This window comes from Homo sapiens, chromosome 1 (genome assembly GCF_000001405.40).
Source record: "Homo sapiens chromosome 1, GRCh38.p14 Primary Assembly".
Lineage (NCBI taxonomy): Eukaryota > Metazoa > Chordata > Mammalia > Primates > Hominidae > Homo > Homo sapiens.
In genome coordinates, this window is record NC_000001.11 from 165433058 (window position 1) to 165456840 (window position 23783).

Genomic DNA, 23783 nt, shown 5'->3' on the forward strand with positions numbered 1-23783 from the left:
CCCTTTCATCCCTTCTGCATCAGAGGATGCACAATTTGTCCATTTTTCCATACCTTTCATCCCTTCTGCATCAGAGGATGCACAATTTGTCCATTTTTCCATCCCTTCCATCATGTGAGGCACCATCTTTGGAAGCAGAGAGTGGACCTCACCAGACACGAACCCGCTCGTGCCTTGATCCTGAACTTCCAAGTCTCCAGAACTGTGAGCAATAAATTCCTATTATTTATAAATTACCTAGTCTGAGGTATTTTGTAGCACAAGATACCAGCAGCACAAATGGCCTGATCCAGTCTCTCAGCCCAATTCACTCTGTGGCATGACCCCTGGCCCCGCCATCTCATCAACCTTGCTCCCTGCCTTCCCCTGTGCCCTCTTGATCTTCCAGGCACCTATGCCAGATGCCTGGAAAATGCACCAAGTCTATTCTGCAGAGTTCATTATCTTTGCTCAGGCAATGATTTTATTTGCAAAATAACTTATCTAATGAAAAAGCGCTAGTGGAGTTCCTCAAAAGGTTTTCTTCTCTCCTGGTAACATACCCAAGAATAGCATTGCATACTCCTGGGTCTCATTTCCCCCAGTAAGGAGCTGGCACTCAGTGACCTGAAAGATCCCTTCCAGCACTAATGTTTCGTGAGCATTGGGTAGGACATGGCTTGTTGGCATTGAAAAGAAAGAAGTGCAGGTGTTGGTGGTCTGGAATGGTCTGAGTCTGGACCAGATGCTGAGGGGTACCTCCCACCATCAACTGGACCATGTTAGGCCTTCAAACCATTTGGCATTCCAATTAAAGGTGCTAAGAGTGTCACCAGGAGCCAAAACTGAGAAGGGAATCTGTACAGTGCATAACTCTACAATGACTCCAAAAGTCCCTGTGTGCATTGATGGCACTATGGCTTCAGGGATGCAGGACTGAGGAGGAGACAACAGCTCAGAAGTCAGAGTTCTAGGTTGAGGTTCTGCCACTTTCCAGCTATGTAAATTTGAGCACGGAACATGACCTCTGTAAACTGCAGTTTCCTCATTCATAAATTGAGACAAATAGGCCTAACTCAGAGGACTGCTGAGAGCTCCTGAGACTATGAGGTCCATTAATTTTTTGTTAATTAATGTATACAAGTAGGTATAAAGTTTATCAACAGAAATTATTTGCATAAGAAAGCAATGTTCCTGATGTTTACCAGAACCACAATCTCTAAACAATGAATTGCATGTGTGTATGTGTGTGTGTGTGTGTGTGTGTGTGTGTCAGAGAGAGAGACTTACTGAGAAAGGGGACACAAAAGCCAGGGTACTTAGAACTACAGAATTCTTACCAAGGTAAGGAAGTTGCTTAGCAACCTCATCCTCAGCCAATAAAAGCAAAATGTCAAGCATGCAGTTTTTCTGACTGGCCAGACAAGGGAGCAAATGGCCTGGTGTTTCCACCCCTTTGCTGCTGTGCCAGGAAGGGTAGAGAGTTTGCTCTCCCATTAGCAACCCTCTTCAGGTTGGAATGGAAACTTGTAATGAATCATTGATAACGGCTAATGCCCACCCATGGGGAAAGGGACAGAGCTAAAGACTTGGCATTTTTCAGAGTCAGGAGTCTCCATATGAAGTCACGGGAGCACCATGGGGCCCTATCCCACTCTGATCTCTCCCACAGTGGAACTGTCACACACCAAAGCCTGTCTCTGTTCCTCCAGTGGAGGGATATGGTGTGAAGGCCCAACAATGATAGGATTCTCAGACACCTGGCTTGTTTTTCTTTGTCTGCAGCAAACTTACTCATATATCCTTTCCCTGCTTCGCTCTTAACACAGACATGCTGCTGAGCAAGGTCGGCAGGAGATTGCCAGGTACAGGCACTTCAACCAACAACTGACTGTCACCTCCTCTGTTGTGTAACAATAATAATAACTAATATTTACTGAGCAATTGCCACAAGCCAGACATGGTTCTAAACACTTTATACATGTTGAGCATCTCTAATCTAGAAATCCCAAATCCAAAATGCTCCAAAATCCAAAACTTTCTGAGCACTGACATGACTCTCAAAAGAAATGTTCATTGGAGTATTTGGGATTTTTGGATTAGGAATGCAAAACAAGTAAGCACATAATGTAAACATCACAAAATCAAAAGAAGATTCAAAATCTGAAATATCTTGATTCACAAGCATTTCCAATAAGGGATACTCAGCTTGGAGTGGCTAACATTTATTAGGCAACTTCTATGTGCCACGCACCCTTCCAAGGGCATGGCATGCATCATCTTGTTTAATAGTCTCAAGGGCGCTTGGAAATAAGGTACTATTAGTATCCTCATCCCCATTTTACTGACAGGAAAGTGGAGCCACAGGGAGATTGAGCAAACTGCCCAAGACCCGCTAGCTGGTAAAGAGCAGGGCCAGGATCCAAATCCAAGCAGTCTTGTGCCGGGGCCGCTGTGCTGAACTCCTGCACTGCGCTTGCCACTTGCCAGGATGGAGGGGAGATAGTGGAAGGTAAGCCCAGATAAGCCCCAAATGGGTGGATTATATGTAAGAACAACTAAGATACTCAATTCTTACCCTATGCTCTTCACAACTTACTTATGGATCATAATGCATTCTTTTCCTTTTGAACACACATAATTGCACCAAATGAACAAAATGACTAGGAGTGGGAGGCAGGGGACTGGGCCCCCAAAGGTGCTAATAAAACAAGGATTAAAATACTTTTCCAGGTGGACCTCAATTTATTTTAATATGTGAAACCCAATTTTGCATTCTGGAGTAGAGGTTGGCACACTTTTTCTTTCCAGGGTCAGACAGTAAGCATTTCAGTCTTGCTGGCTGTACCATCTCTGTGACAACTACTCACAATATCCTTTGTAGTGTGAAAGCAGCCACAATCAATGGGTAAGCTAGTGCACACAGATGTGGCTGCATTCCAATAAGCTTGCAGACCTCTAGGGGATCATTCTGGAGAAGTTTTATTATCATTACCATTTCTGATTGCTCTTCAGTTAGCAGTGATCCCCAACACCTTAGCTCCACACTGCTCTTCCTCCAGCTTTCCCCTCACAGAGCTGGATTGACTGTCAAAGCTACACAGAAGGGCCTGCAGATCATCGAGTTCAACCCCTCGGTTACAAGCAAGGACACTGGGGAAAGGAGGTATGGCTTGCCCATGACCTGTGGCTGTTTGTGGTCTTCAAACTGAGTTTCCCTGAGTCCCCTTGGAGCCACCTAGGATGGCAGGAAGGGGAGTAGAGGGGGCTGAACCACAGTGAGTCCTCCTCCCACCCTTTGGTAAAATAGCTCAATGCCACCAACCACATGGGGTAAGGGTTAACCTTCCACAGTGTGAGGGTTAAATAAAATCAAGCCTGGAAAATTGTAAACACATAATAAAAGTTAGCTCCCTTTATAGAAAATCTGGAGACTATGGCACTAAATTTAGCTAGAATTTGGTATGTACCTTTTTCTTAGAGGAGATTCGCCTGTTCTTAAAGTGTCAGACTGCACACTATGAGATGCTGACAAAGTAAATAAGACATGGATTCTGCCTCGGAGGGAGCACCATTTTCAGAAAACTACGTTTTAACAAATCATCCCAGGGCAGGCACTCATGAGGTCAGACAGAAAGGGAGCCATGACCTGGGACTTCCAACTCCTATCATTTTCAGGAGACCCTCACCCCAGGCAGTGACCTTGAGAAGTCCTGACCCCCTCCATTTCCTCAAATGCAAATGGAACAACCTGGAGTTCCTTGGCCTCTTTTATCAGCTACTGTAACCAGATGGGGACAGAAGTGGGGGACAGCAAGAGTTTCAAGGTTAAAGATCAATCCCAAACTCCTGGTGGGATTTCAGAATTAACAACCAAACTTGAAAAGTGGAAAAGCCTGTTATCATCTTTAATTCAAAAAGCATTTACAAGATGTCAGAGGAACGGGAAACAAAGCACTTAATGAATATCTTGGAGTGTTTCTTCTAGGCTGGTTGCCTGGGTTTCATTTCTGTGACTCAAAATCTCCTTTGCTCCTCCTTTTCATTTTACTGGTCACTAGTGTCATGGGGAAGCAGCCTCCTGGAGGGTTCAGGGCTCACAGTATCTGTTTTCACAGCCCTAGCGATGTGGAGAGCAGAAGTTGGAGAGCAGGGGAAGAACACCCTAGACCAAGAAGAATGCCAGTCAGTCAGTCAGCCAGCACGCCTGGCTAAGCATCTGCTTGTATATGGGCTGTGTAAGACACCAAGAGCATGAAGCCCATTCCCTGCCCTGGCAGAATGTACAAACTAGTTACAAGCTCTGATGTCTTCAAAATATTTGGAGATTAATTATTTCTGCACATTTTTCTTAGGGCTGAGTTTAAGTGAATGGATTCAAAGAATTCAGGGATTTAGAACCTGAGAACAGATAATGTTCTGAATATTACCCAATGGTAACATGGGACTAGGAATATAGTTCGCTGTATTTTAAGAGACTGCCGTCTTTAGAAGACAATCTATAGAGATTGCCCTGTTCAGATAGAGAGAGCCTATCTGAACAAGAAATCCAGAGACAGTAATGGACAGAGGTCATGGATTCAAGAGCTGGGTGTGCACATAATTGATGTTCAAGGACTTTAGGAACGAGAGGAGAACTGGGGGCACCCTCATTGGCATCTGCTTCAAACACTCATTGACATCTGCCTCCATGGACTAACTGGTACATGATGTACCAGTATACGGAATTGGCTTAAAGGGACAGCCAGCCGGTCCTCGTTAGCAGGATCCCCTGGAGCCTCTCATTTGTTAGAGATGGCATAATATCCATCTGTACTAGCAAGGTCTATAATTTGGTGCTGGCTGGGAAAGGTGGTGTGCAAGCAAAATGTCATTCATTATATGCAGAAATGTTCACAGAAATTCTGCTAGACTAGACTCAAATTCTAGATCTATAATAATTTGCAGCAGGCCTTAAAAGGGCCACTTTATCACTCTAAACCTCAGTTTCCTAATCTGTCTAATGGGAATAATTTCCGCCTTACGGACTACACTGTCAGTTTGAAGTTTGAATGAAATAGACGGTGGCCTCCAGGAGGGGCCCCTCTATCTGTTGTGCTGAGATTGACTCAGCCCTGGCTCAGCGATCCTCAGAAAAAAAGTGAAAATACAGGTTGAGTATCCCTAATCCAAGCCTCTAAAATCTGAAATGCTTCAAAATCCAGAACTTTTTGAATGCCAATATCATGCTCAAAGGAAATGCTAATTGGAGCATTTTGGATTTCAGATTTTTGGATTATAGATGCTCAATTGGTAAGTATAAGGCAAATATTCCAAAATAAAAAAAAAATCCCAAATCCAAAACACTTCTGGTGTTAAGCATTTTGGATAAGGGATACTTAACTTGCATCAACTCATTTCATAACTACAACACCACTTTAAGGTCCGTAGTTTTATTATCCCCATTATATGGGGATTAAGCACACGGCTTGGCACAGAATAGACACTCACCAAATATTTTTTGACAGATAACCCAATGATTGGTATGGAAATAAATAGCACATATTCATAAAGAGTTTTAGGAATGTAAGGCATTATCTAGCAGACGGAATAAACTTGGACCCAGGGGCCAGAAGACCTGCTGTTTTTGCCTATATGGCCTTGGGCAAGTCTCTCAACCTCTCTTCTATAAAATGAGGTGGTTCTTCAAGTTCTAAAAGTCTGATTTCTAAACAAAAACAACCAACATGGTCTTATTAATTTACAACATAATTAATTCAGAGTGGTGACTAAACTGGTCATGGTATAAACTAGTTTGTATTTGTTCATTCACAAAATAATAATAAAAAAGGTTTGTTAAGCAAATAAGATGGTAGAAATGTTAAGCCTATTTAAGATACATATGTTTTCAAGCAATTTAAAAAGCATAGAAGGAGCACATTGGCATATTAACGGGGTGTTAATTACAAAAGAATCTTTTAAAGCAGGTTTTCTAAAATCCCCACTGAGTAACCATTAGCTTGTGGTACTTGAAACACAAACTGTTCACATGTGTTACTTAGAAGTAATAAAATTGTAATTTAAAAGTAATCTGCCAACTTGTCACGAATTTAGACTGATTTTTCTCTCAATTGATCCAAATGAGTGAGGTTTTGCTATAATTATATATAATGCTGGTAATAATGAGGCTGATTATCAATCTTTCCCTGCTTTTCACTACCTCCATCATTACAGATTTTAGGGGAGGGGGGCGGGGGTGGAGGAAGATGGGAGGAGTGGGAGCGAGGGGAGGAGGGGGGTGGAGGAGAGGGAGAGAGGCAGGGATGCCACTCTCTCCCTCCCCCTTCCTTCAAGCACCGGAAGCAACCCCAGCTCCCACCCTGAGCAGCTCATCAGCCCTTCTCTGGGGGCTACATGAATCCAGGTGGAACTGCCCTGTGCGGCTTCGAAAGGCTAGCCAGCTGGTCCGAACTGGGGTTGCGTGAAGCATGCAGCAGCGTCAACCCATCAGCTAATGCATGCTTTCATTCTCACATTCCCACTGAGAGGCTGAGAGGCCTGAGCCTCTGGGGGCAGAAGGAGGGCCTCTTCTACATGCTCTCCACTCTCCAACACATTCCTTGATTTTTCCCCACTGAGGAAGCCAGAAAGGGCTTCCATAGCAGAGAAGGTTTCCTTCCCATCAGAAGAAAGCTTCTCTCTGCTCCCCATTCACTGGAAATTTAATGTCTAACATCTTGTTTTCTACATCGGTTAAAATGTAAAGCTTTGCACCAGTAAAACAGTTATAAAATACCTTCCCATTCCATCTCAGGGTGATTGTGCAGCCTAAATGTTTATAGGAAAGTCCCCTTGAATATGCTGATAATAATTCAAATATAAGAAATGCATATTAGCTAATCCCTGGTGTCTGAGTGGCTGTTATGTGGAAAGAGGAGGGAGAAGAAGATTAGGCTGGGCTGGGAGCCCTGAGGAAGGGAACCCAAACTAGGGGTTGAATTGTGAAGAGATAGAGTCAAGATGTGGAGTGTTCTAGTGAGAAAGGCCAGGGTCAAAATCCTGGGAGAGGCCAAGTATTGAATTGGGAAGGGGCAGGAAGGTCTGTGCTGGGTAACTGCTGTAAGAATTTACAGAGTAGTACAGTATAGTACATGGTAGAGCTGGGATTAAAATCCAGATCTGCTGCTTTTCCTCATATTCAAATGCCACTTTTATCATTTATTAGCCAAGTTCCCTTTGGCAAATTATTAATTTCTCTGTCCCCCAGTTTTTACATCTGTATAATGGGGGTAATAAAACTACCGACCTTAAAGTGGTGTTTTAGTTATGAAACGAGTTGATACAGGTTAAGTATCTCTTATCCAAAATGCTTAGCACCAGAAGTGTTTTGGATTTAGGATTTTTTTTTATTTTGGAATATTTGCATTATACTTACCAATTGAGCATCTATAATCCAGAAATCTGAAATCCAAAATGCTCCAACGAGCATTTCCTTTGAGCATCATTTTGGCATTCAAAAAGTTCTGGATTTTGAAGCATTTCAGATTTTAGATGCTTGGATTAGGGATACTCAACCTGTATTTTCACTTTTTTCTGAGGATCACTGAGCCAGGGCTGAGTCAATCTCATGAGAGCCACCAAAGCCCATGCATTCTAGAAAATTAACTTCATTCCCTGGGCCTCTGTGTCTTCTACTTTTAAAAAGAGGAGAAAACACCAGCTTCCTCTGGGAGCCCCTGGCACACCCGCGATCCAATGCTGGTGGCTAAGTTCTCTGCAGACCTAGAAGCTTCATAATGAGGGGAAGGAAGAGGTGGGGCATTTAGATTCTCTTTGCACAATTTCTTCCCCCAGTTGCTATTCAGCTCTCTATCTCTTGGTGAGATTGTAAATGTTTTAGAAAATAGTTTATACGAAATATGTTCCTTCCTAAATCTCATAAACAGTTACTCCTTTCCACATAAACCTTAACCACTTATGCCCATGATAGGTTCCAATTAGCCACCCACATATCTGTGGAGGGGAAAAATATGTTCTAGCATATACACACATGTGCACACGCACACATACAAGCAGGTCCAACTCAACCCCTTCTCTATGGCTATTTTCAAGTGAAAGCAACTATTCTACATGAATGGTCAGGGTCAGTTGGACAGGACTCTTGCAAATAAGTATGTACCCAAGGGAAGCCACCAATTAATTCTGCAGAGATCACCGTTGCTCTTAACCTATCCCATGGCTTATTCCTCAATGGCCAGTCCACTGGGTCTGCAACAACCAGTCAGTGCTGAGGCTGCATATCTGAGGTTGTATTGGAGCACCGGGAGCTCCCTGGGGGTGTGCTGCTGCCCCTGGCTTTGCAGAGCAACTGTGTCACTCACAGAAGCTGTGAGAGGCAGCTCAGCAGTGTGAACTCTGGGAGCTAGTCTGCCTGGGTTCAATCCCTGGCTGTGCCATTTTCTAGCTATAAGACCTTAAGCAAGTTATTTCACCTCTCAATTCCTCTGTTTCTTTGTCTCTAAAAGGAGTACGAGAACAATGGTAACAGTACCTACTCCTAGGGTTGTTATGAGGATTACATGAGCCGAGGCTGGTAAAGTGCTTACAATAGTAGCGAGCATTAGTGTTACAGTGTGTTTGTTAAATGAAATGAGAGAAGTCCTCTCTCTCCCTGATCTCCTTCTCACCCTGAGGATTACTGCACAATTGGATGGGGGGGATTACAGGCTTTGTTTTGCCATCTTCTAAGAGGCAGCAACTGTCTCATCCCAGAAAAACAAACCTATTACTGAGCAGCTGGCAAACCCTGGACTTGGCAGAGAAGGAGAAGAGAAGGTTTCTCTCATCATTACATGGTAGGGCCCAAAGCTGGGAGATTGGGCACCTTTGTGGAGCCACCACGTAGCCACCACACTTTGGCCAGTTTGAGCAATCTGTTGCTCACTGATCAGATGATGCTCTGACATCTGGTAAGCATGGTCCCAGACACAAATCTCAGGTGTTATTTCCAAAAGGTGACTTTGCTTCCCTGGAGATTCTTATACAAATCATGGGGCCCTCTGTAATTCCATGTGCTAATATGTAACAGGGCAGGGGGTTATACACCAAGTATTTTAATAAGTGCCGTGCAACTTGCTGCACTGTGGCAGGGGAGGTTAGAGGCCAAAGGTGACGTCCACTCTAATCCTGCTTTCCCCTGTGCCTGCTTGTGAGTCCTCTGTCCCTCTCCCTCATCACAGAAAGTTCTCAAACAGACCTCCCTGCAGACGGGGGCAGAGTCCTTTGGCTCAGCATTTAGGCCTCCTCTTAACTGGCACATGCCAACAAAATGGAAAACCTCAACAGAACTAAACAAAATAATTCTTCTCCTCCCTCAAGAATGACAAAGAAAAGTAGCTTTACAGGAGACATGTAGACAACCTACATGACCCTTTCCCCTCAAGTTCCCTATACTATACTGAACTATTTCCTTCCATAGCTGAACCATTGTGTTTACTTCTATCTGAAATCTAATTACGCTAAATATCAGAGCCCCCACAATTATGAAAATCTATGCCAGCAAAATATGAGGGTCTTTGTGGATTTAATTTTATTTTCCCAGATTCCTTATTTATTATTTTACAATAATGTCTGATTTTTAACTATTTTGCATGTTAGTCTCTGAGTAAAATAGAGGGGAAGAAAATATTGTATTAGGTAGCAAATATATGGACAACACTATAGCAGCTGTTTTTCACATGCTAACTCATTTAATTTTCACAATACTCTAAGGATGAGATTATAAATCCCATTTTAGAGAGAAAGGTGCTAAGGCTCAGAGAGGTTCACTAGCTTGCCTAAGGTCACACAGCTACTAGGTGAAAAATTGGGAACCAAACTCAGCACACTACCTCTTCCTGCCTCCTCTTCCTCCTGGTGCTCTTTTCACTATATTAAAGCAACAATATTATAAATTTGAGTAAGGGCTTTTCTGGAAGTGTTCTGCAGCTCAGCCCCATATAAATTTGGACTAGTCCCTGCCTTCTTTTGAGCCTCAGTTTACACATCTATAAGATGAGAGCCTAAGATGCTGTTTCAGGTCCTTAGGATGCTAACATTCCAAGATTCCAGCCCCCATGGAATTTTAACTAGATCTTCTTTCTCTGGCTCTTACTTTAGTTCTCTCCCTAAATCCTTCTAGCTTCAACCCTTTTATTCACCCCAACTGTCTCCAAGGGTCTCTTTGGCATTAATGAAGCCACAGTCTCACAGACCTTGGGGGGCCCACGAATCTGGCTGAAAATGAGCATGCACCTCTTACAAATGAACTAAGATGTAAAGGAAAAAGCAATTCTCAGCTCTGAATGGGACTGAGGTGGGAATTGAGGAGGCTTTTCACATCTGGAGCCCAACCATAGACTAGAGATCAAATGCCCAGGTCACAGCATTGGCCACCGCTCTCACTCTGTCATCAGACTGGCCCAAAGAACTTGAACATCACCTCGGGAACATTTCCATGGCCCTCACCCCAAGTCCAAGTACAACCTACGTTTGCTATTACACACATCATGCAGTATTATAATGTGCCTGTGTAACAAGCCTGCCCCAGTCCCAAAGGGCAGAGACTGTGTCTCATTCATATTTGTATTCCCAGTGCCCAACACCATGCCTGCCTCATAAAAACTACCCTGAATGAATGTGCAAACTCCCAGGTCTAACACCTCCTGGTGACAGAGATCACTTCTACCTTGCAGTGTGTCACCATGCCTCCCAGGGGGTTCTGCCCAGCCAAGTTAGGCAAGCTTTAGTCCCAAGCCTTCAGATGAATTGGTCCACGGAGGAAGTCTGGAGAGCAGGGACTTTTCAATTTTCAAAACCTTATAAGAATTTCTGCTGTCTTGCCTGCCAGAATCTTTCTTTGGCTCCCAGCAACATAAGCTGCATGCCTCCAACTGACAAGCGACAGGCCAGTTGGTCAGCTGTTGCTTCCATTTACTCAGAGCTGGGCGGCTGTACTGTTTCTGTCACTAAATCAAGGGATCCTTGGGACGGATGTGCTTGGGCGTTAAGGCAGCCTGAGGACCTAGTCTCCGGAAGCTTCTGTGAAGTGTGACTGGGCTGCCCTGCCTGGCACGGTGACTTGAATCTTCAGTTTGCCAATTCTCTAAGAGCCCCAACCCCCCATCCCCAGATCTCTACCCCCAGAGTGGAAGTGATTGCAGCAACTCTTGCAGTAGAATTGGGGGCAGCAGCAGGGGAGGAGAGAAGAGGCTATTAGCAAATCAAAGGAAAGAAAACAGGGGAAGGAAAACACAGTAGCAAATTAAAGCACTATGTTTTCTTTTTAAAAATCCAATTAAAGGGAAATCTGCTTTTGAGTAAAACAATCATGCCCTTGTTACAAAGTATCCCAGGAACCCTCAAGATAGGCAAAACCTTTTTAATCACATTTTTTCTCATTACAAGTTGGCTAATAGGAACATCATAGTAATTCCCCGTTAACTCTTCCACTTTTCACACCCGCACAAACACACTGGGTTATAACAATGCTCTTATTCTATCTTTGTCTCAGACACATTCTCAAGCATGTTGGTTTACTCTCTCCTTAGAATATCCCCGTATCCTCATTCTGATATGCAAACGTATCCTCACCTACAGACCATTCTTTCCTCCTCTCCTCTCTCATGCACGCGTGCACACACACGCTGAAACGCTATATACACACTATATATGCATATAAACATATATGTTCTCCTTTTAATTCAATACTAATCCAGTCATTCGTATTTCCCAATTTCTTCTCAGTCTCTCATACAGGTCCACGCAGTGAAGCCCAAGGGAGATACTTACCTCCATAGCCTGCGGGAAACTTCATGAAGTGAGAATAATTTCCATACATGTTTACTCGTCAGTTCATGTTCCTCTCCTGTGCAGCTTCTAAATATTACCGCCTCTCTCGGCTCCCAGGCACAGCCCGGCTTTCTTCAACTTGGGCTAACAAGAGTGGTCATCGCTTCCTAGCAGCCCGGGGAGCACAGGCTGGGCCAGCCCTCTGGGATTAGTCAGGAATCTGCCTCTAGATCGGAGAGTCCACATAGTGCGTTTGAGACGGCTGTGGCGGCAGCAGCTGGTGCCTGTCAGTAATCACGCATAATGCTGCCGCCGCCGCCGCCGCCGCCGTCACCGCTACTCTTGCCACCGCCGTCGCTGCTGCTTGAGATCCTGTTGCTAGTTTGATTAACTCAGGGTTGGGCTGCTGCGTGCGACTCTTCCAGCTCCCGGCGCGTCCCCAGAGGTCCCTACCGGGTGGCACGATCTATTATCTAGGAAGCCAATCGATGTATGACCGCCCGGTGTAGGTCAGGAGAGAGGCGGGAGACGGCAGGGGATGGAAGACTCTTTAGGTGCCTGTTCCTTGACTTACATCCACAAAAATCAATGGGATTTTATTAAAATGCATTTTCTCATTCGAACTTCTATCTGTCCAATGTACTTGGTATTTGATCTGTGAAAGGAGGAGGGGGTGGGGTTCAAGAGAGAACAGGGCCCTTTCAGAAGCACAAGATTAGAAAAGCGTGATACTCAATCTCCAGCTACGGAAAACTAAAATAGAGTAGCCCTTAAGTTGAGGTGGGCCTCTCCTGCTTGGGTGGCCGGAAGCATTTATCTGTGCTCTAACAATGGGAGTTTGACAAGTGCAGCTGGAGCCAGAGCTCACTCAGGTGGAAAACTTACAGGTAGGGAGGAGGGGTTGGCTTGATGTGGAGGTCTTTCTCTGCATTTATTTTATATACCATTGTTATCCTGCCGCCTGTTCAAAAACACCACTGGGTCCTCACTAACACAGAGCCTGTCTTGTGTGGAACTGACCCGAGATCAAAGAATCTAAGCACCCCGTTGATGTTTGGGTCTGTCATACAGTTTTCGTGACAAGTCACCGCTCAGCCTATACTTGAACACCTCCAATAATGGGGAGCTCACCACTTTCTCATTCCATTTCTAGATAGTTTTCACCACAAGAAAGTTTCTTATAGAGATAAAATCTGCTCCTTTTCCCTACAGCTTCTGCCCACAGGTGCTAGACTGCTCCCAGGGGCCACACAAGAGAAGCCTGAAAGACAAAAAAGTCTTTCACAGTGGGATCCTCTGCAAATCCTGAGATTGATCTGCTGTGCCCATAATCCCCCTTTCCCTAGGCATCTCTGGCTCTTTCAGTAATTCTATGTATCACCAAGGGTTCATGTCTATTCCCAACCTATCCTTTTTCTAATAATGTACTTCAGTTTACATAGATACCCTCACAGTGAGGAAGGGGGTTGGCCAGACTTGGATGCAATACTCCAGATATGGTCCAAACCTTTTCCTCATGGTATATGTGTTGGCACGGTGATGGGGTGCTGTCAACATACCCATTGAAGGTCCGTTTCATGGGCTGAGCTCTGTTGGGCTGGAAAAAAGATAAGAGATTTTCTCCTGATGCAGCATAAGACATAGAGAGCCAGAGAGGTAAGTCAAATCAGGGTCCCAGAGTAAAAAATCAAGATTCAAATGCTAGGAGAAGCCAAAACAAAAACGTAGAATAAAAGACCAGAGTCAGGAACAAAGTCATGATGACAAAGGAGGAGGCCAAAATGGGGAATCAAAGCAAAAGCATGTCACAAAGGAGGAAGAAATATCCAGGCCTTCACTGTAAAGAGCTTTGGAGAGCCCAGAGCTGCCTTGACTGTTGCTGGGATGAGAGTCCAGTGGACATAAGTAATATAGAATACAGGAGGACCATTTGCTCACTTGCATTAGGTGGGCAGCTCTGCATGTTAATTCATGTAGAACTAACTCGATAAAAATCTCCCCACCCCTACCTCCCCTAAGTTGTGTTCTCTTATGCATATTCTTCATCCCATCCTTGGGCAATTGGTTTTGGGACCTACATGAAATGCTTCCTATATTCCTCTGAAGTTAAAACTTTTTGGCTTCATTCATCATCCCAAATCTTTTAGGATCCTGCTTCTGTTGTCCAAAATATTTCTTATTCATACCCTTATTTCATGACTTCTGAAAATCTGATGAACTGCTTTTTCATATCTTATTCGACTCATTGATAAAAATGTTGACATAGACATAGCAAAGACAACATCTTATATCACTAAAAAGTCCATTCATTAGTGCCTTAGACACTTTGCTCTGCTACTCACTAGTTATATGGCCTTGAAAGGCTATATGTATAGTAAAAGCACCAACTCACCAACTCACAAGCCAACATTGCTGGGTACAAATCCCTGTTCCGCTGCTTACAGCCTCATGATACTGGCAAATGAGTAAATCTCCCTGAGCCTCAGTTACCTTATAGGGTTACCATGAGGATTAAATGAGTCAATACATGTTAAGCACTTGAAATACGCCAGATAAATACTAAATGCTCGATACATGTAATCTAATTTGAGGCAAATGATGGGGAGGAGGAGGAGGTCAAAGAGGAAGAGGATGTAACCTTAAGCAAGTCACTTTATGGCTCCTCTCCTTTTTCTCATTTGTAAAATGATGGAGCAGAGCTACATGGGTTCCAATATCATCTTCAGCTTTAAAACTGAACGCAGACTAATGCATCACCCATTCCATAATTGTCCATTTTCTCCATAGTGGTATCTGAAGCAAGTGTCTTACAATCTACAGTTTTCTATTGTACGCATGTCAGAGAAGGAAATGAGTTACTTAAACTGTTTTTTTGTGTGTGTGTGAACCCATGTTTCAAGGGTTTTTCCAAGTACTCAAGTACTCAAAAACCATTCTTTAAAAATCACAGTCTACAGACTTGTCCAAGGTCATTGTCAAGATGATCTGTTGGTTAAGCCACCAACAGATAGACTCTTTCTTCACCTTTTTCTAAGTTCAGTACATTGTCTATTTCTTTTCCTCACAGAAGAAAAACCAAATCCTAACCTGGCATGGAAAAGGCTCACCATTTGTGGGGTGTCTCGGCCTATCATGTGAGCTCTATGTAGAGGAAAGTGCTTTGGGGCAGTAATCACAAGGCTTGGGATACACACTCTCTGGGAAAAACATCCATGCTGCCAGCCTCACTAAGGTTTCTGGATTTAGTTTTGATTTTGTGGATCAGATGTGTTGAGAGTTGGGCACGTGCTCATTTTTACACTGCGAAGTTCTATACAATGGCTTTGTAAAACAAATGCAAAGAATTAATATTTTCCTGATTTTCTTTCCTCCCTTTCTCTGAGAGTTCCTTCTGATCTGGCTGTTTTGCCCACTGTAGGGGTACGGTATGTTCATTCCAACTTCCGGTTTGATATAGTTTGGATGTTTTTCCTCTCCAAATCTCATGTTGAAATGTGATCCCTAATGGTGGAGGTGGAGCCTAGTGGGAGGTATTGGATCATGGGGTGGATCCCTCATGAATGTCTTAGTGCCATCCTTTTGGTGATGCGTGAGTTCTTGCTCAGTTAGCTCTCAGGGGATCTGGTTGTTTAAGAGTTTGGGACCTCCCCCTCCACTCTCTTGACCCCTCTCTCACCATGTGACACACCAGCTCTCCCTTTGCCTTCCACCATGATTGAAAGCCTCATGGGCTTCACCAGGAGCTGAACAGACACTGACACCATGCTTTTTTTTAACAGCTTGCAGAACTGTCAGCCAATTAAACCTTTTCTCTCTATAAATTACCCAGCCTCAGGTATTTCTTTATAACAACACTAAAAGGACTAACACGTAGTTCATTGTTCATGCCCATTTACTTTTTCTCATCACTAAAATTCTTACCTATCATTCAAGTTCCAGCTCATTTCCCACCATGAAAACACTTATCCAAAAAGATGTCTCCCTAACCTAGGTCTGATAAAACTTATTGTCCAGTGTGTTCAGGTGACACTTAGTATGTATGGCCTTGTGGCATCCCCAGTGAAATGGCAAGGAATGGTTATTTATCTTTCCTTTGAATATGTCTTATCTTCATAACATGATTGTTAACTCTTCAAATATAGTGATAATGTATTATGTCTCTTTGTTTTCTCACCTAAGTGCTAAAACACACAGTAGGTGCTCAACAAATATTTCTGTATCAAAAATGCTTGACATAGTCAAATACATCAAAAACAATATACCAAACGGTACCCCAGTATGCTTTTCTTATGATACCTTCCATATGGCTTAATACCCCATAACAAACCATAAGCTCTGCCTAAAGATCAACAAATATGAATGTGGTTTTTTCTTTTTAACCCACTTTTTTTTTTCTTGGCACCATTGTGTCTTCCCTAAGACCATTATTGGTATAACAACGTTATCCTAAGTGGCTGGTATTTCTAACATAAGCCCTTCCCAAACAGCTCCACTGACTTCAGTCACAACTGTGTCTCCAGCTGTTACTGAATTCTCATTAGGATGTCAAGTGAAAGACCAAATGCTCAAAGTCTACAGTAGGAATTAGCTAATTCATTCACAAGAATTCTTGGCCTACTTCTTGTCAAGGCTAGTTAACTAGTCCTCTTAAATAATATGTTCTACTTTTACTAAAGCCATTAGTGCCTTTGAATAAGTGGAAAGAGCATGGATTTTGACTAGTATGTTTGGCTGTTTGACACAAATTCGGCCAATAATATCTAATATTCACCCTGGTAATCAAAGGATATAGCTTTACGTCTGCTCTTTTTTTCTCTTTTGACCCGTGGTGATATAAAATAGTATTTTGCAGCAAATACAAATGAAAAACCAAACTCATTCATTTGACAATGGCCAATAAACTTTAGCTATAGAATTTAGATGCAAATATCTCCATACTAATATTATGTATTAATATTTTTATATTTTTATAATACCTTACCTACATAATAGTACATTAAGTTTCCATGTGCTATCCCCAATACTAGACTTAAATAGGGCAGGCTTTGTTACCCCAGTTTTACAAATGGGCAATTTGAGATTAAGACTATGAAATCAGAGAATGAAAGACAGTTACTCTAACAAATTGGGTTTTGGATCTGGTCTCACAACTAGGTAGTGAAAGAAATGGGTGTAAAAGCCAGGTCCCCAACTCTGCTGTCTAGTAAATGTGTCTTTCGTGAAATCACAATCCTTCTCTCATTAGTGATATGTTTCCTATCTATGTTTGTGTTACTGCGGATGGGGTTTCTCTATACATAGTTTTTTTTTTTTTTCTCGTTGCTGTTAATCACTTATTCACTTATCATTCAGCTAGCACTTACTGAGAGCTTATTATCTGACAACCAGCAGGAATATACTAAGGGGAAAGATAGATATAGTCCCTTATGCATCCCAATAGAGGAGATGAATATTAAACAAATATTCGTAGACAAATATATACCAGCATAAACCATGATAAGAACTATGAAGGAAAATAATTGGATGAGATGAAAGACTATAGCAGGGAAATCTCATTTAAATTGGGAGGTCAGAGCAGACTTCTTTGAGAAAATGGCAGTTACACTCAGATCTAAAGGCTGAGTAGGATCCAATCTGGGGAAGAAAGCAGGAGGATGAGGAGAGGGTGGACCAGAAAGAGAGAACAATAGGTCTAACAGCCCTGAGGAGGGACTGAAGTCAGTGCATCCGAGAAGCTGGGGGGTAAGAATGTTCAGATCTCCCATGTGAGGTGGTCTGGCCATCTAACATGAGCCATCTGACACAGTCGGGCCATCTAACATGGGAGATCTGAACCATCTAACATGGGAGGTCTAACCATGGTCTGGCCATCTAACATGGGAGCTCTGAACATTCTTATCCCCTGCCCCGCCTGCAGTGAGTTCCGCTGTTTCATTGTCTCACCTATGATTTTTTGCTTGACATGCCCATGTCAACTTTGGGCTCTGTGCTGCCAGAAAACCATCCTTCCTGGCTTTGCCTCACCTTCACTTGCTGGTCAGATCAATGACTCGCCATTTTTCTATGACACTCCCCAGTAACTCACCACTCTCGTGTCTCTCAATATGTTCCTTCTTATATGATTATCATGACTGCACCTGAAAAACCCTCTTACTAGATGACTAGCAACTGAATCCAAGTCATTTTTGTAGCTCCAAAAGCCTTTAACGCCAGAACCTAACTCATAGTAGAAACCCAGTAAATACATGATGAATGAATGAATAAAAGTTTGTTGATTATGCTGAGATATCCTGATGTCAACTCCAGGTCACTGGGCATAAGGAAATGAGTGTTCCCATTCCTATGTTCCAATAGTTTTTAACAGCCCAATTTTCATTTTCATGAGCTCCTTTTTCCTGGAAGCAGACTCCTATGTGGACAGGTTCAATGCTGGCGCTAGTGCGGTACATCAGTCTTGATGACTAAGACCCACTGACGATGGAAATGAGGCACCTAAATCAGAAAGATTGATGATTAGCTTTAAATTAGAACAGTTTCGTCTATGATCCAAAACAGGACCATTTCCAAAAGGCCTGTCCAAAAACACAAATTAAATCTAAAATGTGTCACACACGGCTTAGGAACCAACAATAAGTTTGCATCATAGCTAATTGATCAAGTCACTGGTGAAACCAACTGACTGAGTTTGCCTTAAGGAAACGATTCCCAAATTTATCTGCAAGTTGAAATCATCCAGGAAGCTTAAAAAATTACTCATACCCATGTTCACCTCCAGAGATTATTCAATTAATGTGGGATTGTGGTCTGGGTTTTGGAACTACCAAAAGAACCCCAGTGATTCTAATGTGCAGATGAGTTTGTGAACCATTGACTTGCAGCAAGAGAACATTCTCATAACAAGCTAAGAAAAGCCCAACAGCAGAAAATGAGAAACTGTTTCCCTGGATAATTCCAGGGAACTAATAAGATCCACTTTACCCATCTGCTAGTACACACAATTGGGGCTTATGAGTCCAAGAAGCTCTTGCTTAGCGGGAGATATGGTGGCTATGGCCATCTGCTGTGTAGACGTAGAATATACTGACTTGAGGTTTCCTGGCACTGTGTCCTCAGCATAGCATGCTCCCACAACACTGCCTCTGCTATCAAAATCTTGCTCATTAAAGGCCAGTCCCTCTATCAAGTCTTCCCTTACAAGTAGTTAATACTTCCACTTTCTCTCAAAATTCTTACTTCTTTATTACAGCATGAATTTAATTTCCCTTAGTATCAAAACTAATTGTTAAACTGGAATCTTCTTTTGAGTTCAGGGACAATCTTTTATTCATCTTTATATTGTCAAAGAATGTGGCATTTTGCTTTGTACACAGTAAGTGCCTAATAAATGCTTATTGCATGAATGCTGAGATTACAACAATGAACAGGGCAGACGCTATCTCTGCTCTTATGGAGCTATAAGCTATGAGTTAAGGGTAACATAATTACCCTTAACTCCAAACTAGGTAACACCAGTTACAAAATTTTCAAGGTAGAAGGAACCATTGCATAGATGCCTCCATCTCTTGGTTCCCAGCCAAATGATGATCACAAAACCTTTCCTGTCATAAACAACTCCACCACAGCTGCAGTGCACATGGGAGCTCTCAGAATACAGAACAACTGTGACCACACTGAGAGAATAGGGCTGAGACCAGGGGAAAACATCTGGTCCCCTCTAGAGAGGAGACAGCAGTGCAAATATGGGACTCTCTAATCTAGACTGGGTCCAGATCCAAGGAACCCCAGCCAAAGAAGTAGATGTCAGCATTAGAGCTCAGGAAAATCTGTTCAAGTCCCTGAGAGAGAGATGAGGCAATTTAAAAATACAGCCCAGCCTCTGAGACCAAGTCATTGCCACTTGGATTTTGTTGAACGGACATGTATTAAGAACCACTGTGTAATGGCTACTGGCTACATGTATTCATGTATTCAGGTGTAGATTTGGAGGCTGCAACCCAATCACACACAGGCAAAGCAGTCTATTTTCAGATCCCACTTACTCTTGGGGAGAGGCTCTAAATATACCACCCAGTGACTGCAGGAGGCAGATTATCATTGCTGGCAGCTGAGCAGGGTGGGGCAGACAGGGACGTCAGGAGCCTCACCATTAACCTCAGCACAACTCAAAGGCCCCCACCACTTGTAGAGCTATATTTACATAAGGGCAAATGTCTATTATTTGGCTTGGTTTTCATTTAAGAGCTCCTGAGAATGGGTTTTGTATGGCAGGAAAAGCACTATGTGATGCCCTCCAAAGACCCACTGAACAAAGCATGTAGATGTCACAAGGTAGGCCTTAGGCAAAACCAACCTTGTTCTGTTCTCAGGCATTTGCATCATAAGAAGGTCTTGCAATTACATAACTAAATAATGAAATTGTCTACATGTATAACACCTGATAATTTATAATATGCTTTTGTAGCCCATTCATAAATGGGTATAAAATATTGTTAAAGCAGAATTCAAGAAGGCTACAATCAGAAATGATATTGGATATTAAGACATGAGAATTTATCTTGCCATAGTGATTTCCTCTATAGCAGGGAAGGCCTTTTGAGTAGGTGTTCAATAGAGACATAGTTTTCTTACTGCTGAAAGCCAAACACTGCATAATCCCTTCTGTAACCATCCCTATTTCCAGGCAGCTAATACCAAAAGGCCAGAAGGCATTTAGTTTTGGAAGGAATTGAGAGAAAACCACACTAACCACCAGCATTTGGATAACTCTGTCCAGTAGTGAAAATGAATAGACATAGCTGTAGGTAGAGAAATAGTTGATTGGGGAAAAGTTTGGTGGGGGGTGCAGGTACAGAAGGACATAGTCAGAATGTGTAGCAATATCAGAGTTTGAGAAACCTCTGTATTTAGTGTATTATATTAGCCTTTGAAGAAGGACTAGACCCAGTTTGGCTGGTATCAACCATGGAGTAGCATCCATGGGAGGTAGAGGAAGATGGGGTCTGAGACATTCCACCTGCAGCAGGGTGGCTCCAAGTCTCCTGGCACCATCTACATCAGACTCACCTGGAAGGTGGCTAAACACACAGACTTAAGGGGCCTGCTCCCACCCTCTGAATCAGAATCTGGGGCTTGATTGTGCCTAGACATATGTCCATTTGACAAGCTCCACAGATGATTCCCACCCATGAGCATGATGTGAGAATCACGGCCTTAGAGAATGGTATCTGCAGAAAGTCAGGTGTGAACTTGGTATGCCACATGACAGCATCAGGGATTATTTGTTGATGCCTTCTGGTTACTTTGAAGAGTCAATATTATGCCATTTTAGTCCAATTTCCTAAGTCACAGTTATTAGTAGTGGAGTCAATATTAGAAACAATTCCTTGGCAGAGAGGAAGGCTTTTCTGGCTGTCTGTGACCTCACCCACAAGCAGCTGTTAAGGATGCTACGCTATTTCTGAAATGGCCCAAACATCAGCAACTTTTGTGGTGGAATTTTAGACACATCAGCAGACTGGGATACAGACATTTAGGGGCCAGAGCCCTTCTGACGCCAAATCAAAGGCTATGTGTGAGGCTGATGTTGCACCCCCTCTCCCCTCCACAGGAGGCCACTTGGTCCTGCACAGACACCTGTGGTCCAGATCATTGGCAGGCCTCAGCCAGCCAAGACTGAAAGGGTGTGAAGGCAGAAATGGAGACTGCAATGGTGACGGAGGAGACTTCTCCTTGACAGCCTGGCAGATGAAGAGAGCTTCCAAAGACATCAGGCCACCAAAAGCAAAAGCAAAAAGGGAAGAAATTCAATAAGTAGTTCTTGAACAGCCATGGCTTCCTGACTGTTTGAGGGACAGGGATGTGCCCTCTCCATACTTCAGTGAGGGATCAGTCCTGCCTGGTAATTAAGAAAAGCAGTAATGATCAGCGCTAAAAATGAATCACCCATTTCCTGTGAAAGAGTGGGCAGAGGACTGTTTTAAAACTTCGATTTATTGACCGATTTGTCTGTGGTAAACCAGGAAGACGCTGTGAGGGAGGTGGAGGGCTGCCACCCTTCCTCCCTACCTCTCCCACCCATCCCATCCTATGCACTTCTGACAGATTAATCTTCCTAATGCACAGCTCTGATGGGACTCCTAGGACCGAAGGCCTTTTTTTTTTTTTTTAATCCTTTTTAAGAAATGGGGTCTTGCTCTATCACCCAGGCTGGATTGCAGTGGTGTGATCATAGCTCACCACAGCCTCGCACTCCCAGGCTCTTGCAATCTACATACAGTGGCATGTGCCTGTAGCCCAACTACTCCACCTCAGCCTCTGGGGTAGCTGAGGTACAGGCACATGCCACCATGCTGGGCTCTTAAGCCAAAGACTTTTAATGGCTTCTCCTTTGCCCAGAGAGATATCTACCCTGGGTTTCATCTCATTTCTCCATGCCCTTTGGCCCTCACTTGACTGAGCACATTTCAGTGTCTAGAAAAGTGCACATGTACTCTCCCATACACACTTTGCACATTCCTTGTTCCCAGGTTTTGCTCAAACTGCTTTCCCGTCCTGGAATAGCATCTTACCCACTACCCACCCTATTAGATGAATCCCATCTCATCCTTCTCTGGGCGTCCTAAATGCTCCTCTCCCTAATCCTTCCTAACTAGGTAGTCGCTGTCTCCTTCTATCTTGCTTTCCATCTCTCTGTGTGTCCCTGTGCATGTCTTTCTCTGTCTCTCTCTCTCTCTCTCTCTGCTTTTGAGCTCTCATCCCCAGCCCCCAGCCCCCAGCATCATGTACCTCTATTTCTGATCTGCACTAGCTACTAAACTGTGTAATCTTTGAATCTTTCTCAATGTGAAGCATACTCACAGACTGCTATCACTTAACCTGCTGCTACTAAAAACTCATTCCTCATGCCTTTTGCCTTTGCATTTTAGCTGATGTTTAGCCTCCACACCAAGGGCTTGGCATAATTGTAATGAGACAGGGAGCCCAGTGCCCTTCTTGGGGGCCAGGCATGTCTTTCCACCAATCTGGATCAAAGTCTCCTCTGTAGGAACCTTTCCCAAGTGTGCCCCACATCCCCCAATCCTGGCCAAAGTTGGCACCTATGTTTCCACACAAGTTTCTTACTGTGCATGCATTCTTCCTCTCCAGCACATATCACAATTATAATTAAATAACTGTCTAACCAGTAGTTTAACACCTGCCTTCCTCCACAATAGGAAGCTCCATGGGGACAAGGCCATACCTCTTTTATTCATCATTGAATTCCCAGTGCCTGGAATGTATTAATAGTTGATGGCAATAAATATTTGGTGAATAAATGAATGGCATTTATCACACTCTGCTTATAGCTTTGTGTGCACAGTGTATGTCTCATTCACTCTTCACTGTCTTTAAGAATATAACTGATATAGGACGCCCTTTGTATTCCCCCAACACTTTCAACAGTGCCTTGTCCATAGTAGGTACTCAAACAAATAGTTGTTAAACCTGTTCCTCTAATGGGCAAGTAATCTAAGGCATGTGATGGTGAGTCAGTGGCATCACATTTGATTCAAAAGAAAACACATTTAGTCCAATAAATCAACAGATAATTACTAAGCACTCTTTATGCAAAAAGTATAGGGTTCTTTATCTGTCTATCTGTCTGCCTATCTATCTGTCCATCTGTCTGCTTGTCTAGGATTAGAGAAGTGGTTGTAGAGATAGTGCAGGGTCTGGTTTTGGGTCCATCTTTGCTCCTGAGTGTCTATATGATCTTGAGTAGTTAGGGCCCTCTAAATGTCAGTTTCCAGTTTCTTCAGGCTTTAAAATGAGCATAAAATTTTTAGTTAACAGGGAAATTGTGAGGATTGAAAGAAGGGGTGTATCTGAAAGCCTTTTGTAAAACATGAAGTGTAATAACATGTATAATTATTGTGGGTGCATGATGAAAAGGAAAAGGCAACGGAGTGAAATATGGCTGTGAGGAGTCTCAGTCCCTCTCTAAGCAGTGAGGTGTG

The 23783-nt window shown here is 43.2% G+C and overlaps 1 protein-coding gene across 3 annotated transcripts in view; it reads right to left on the reverse strand.

Moving 5' to 3' along the window:
* Positions 1–12069, reverse strand: part of RXRG (retinoid X receptor gamma) — a 44205-nt gene extending 32136 nt beyond the window's left edge. For 2 of the 3 annotated variants that reach the window (NM_006917.5, NM_001256570.2), the window contains exon 1: positions 11788–12069. In NM_006917.5, coding sequence (NP_008848.1) covers positions 11788–11836 — 49 coding nt within the window. In that variant the 5' untranslated portion in view covers positions 11837–12069. Of the gene's footprint in view, positions 1–3873; positions 4145–11787 lie in introns of those variants that run through there. The other variant, NR_033824.2, reaches the window with a different exon arrangement.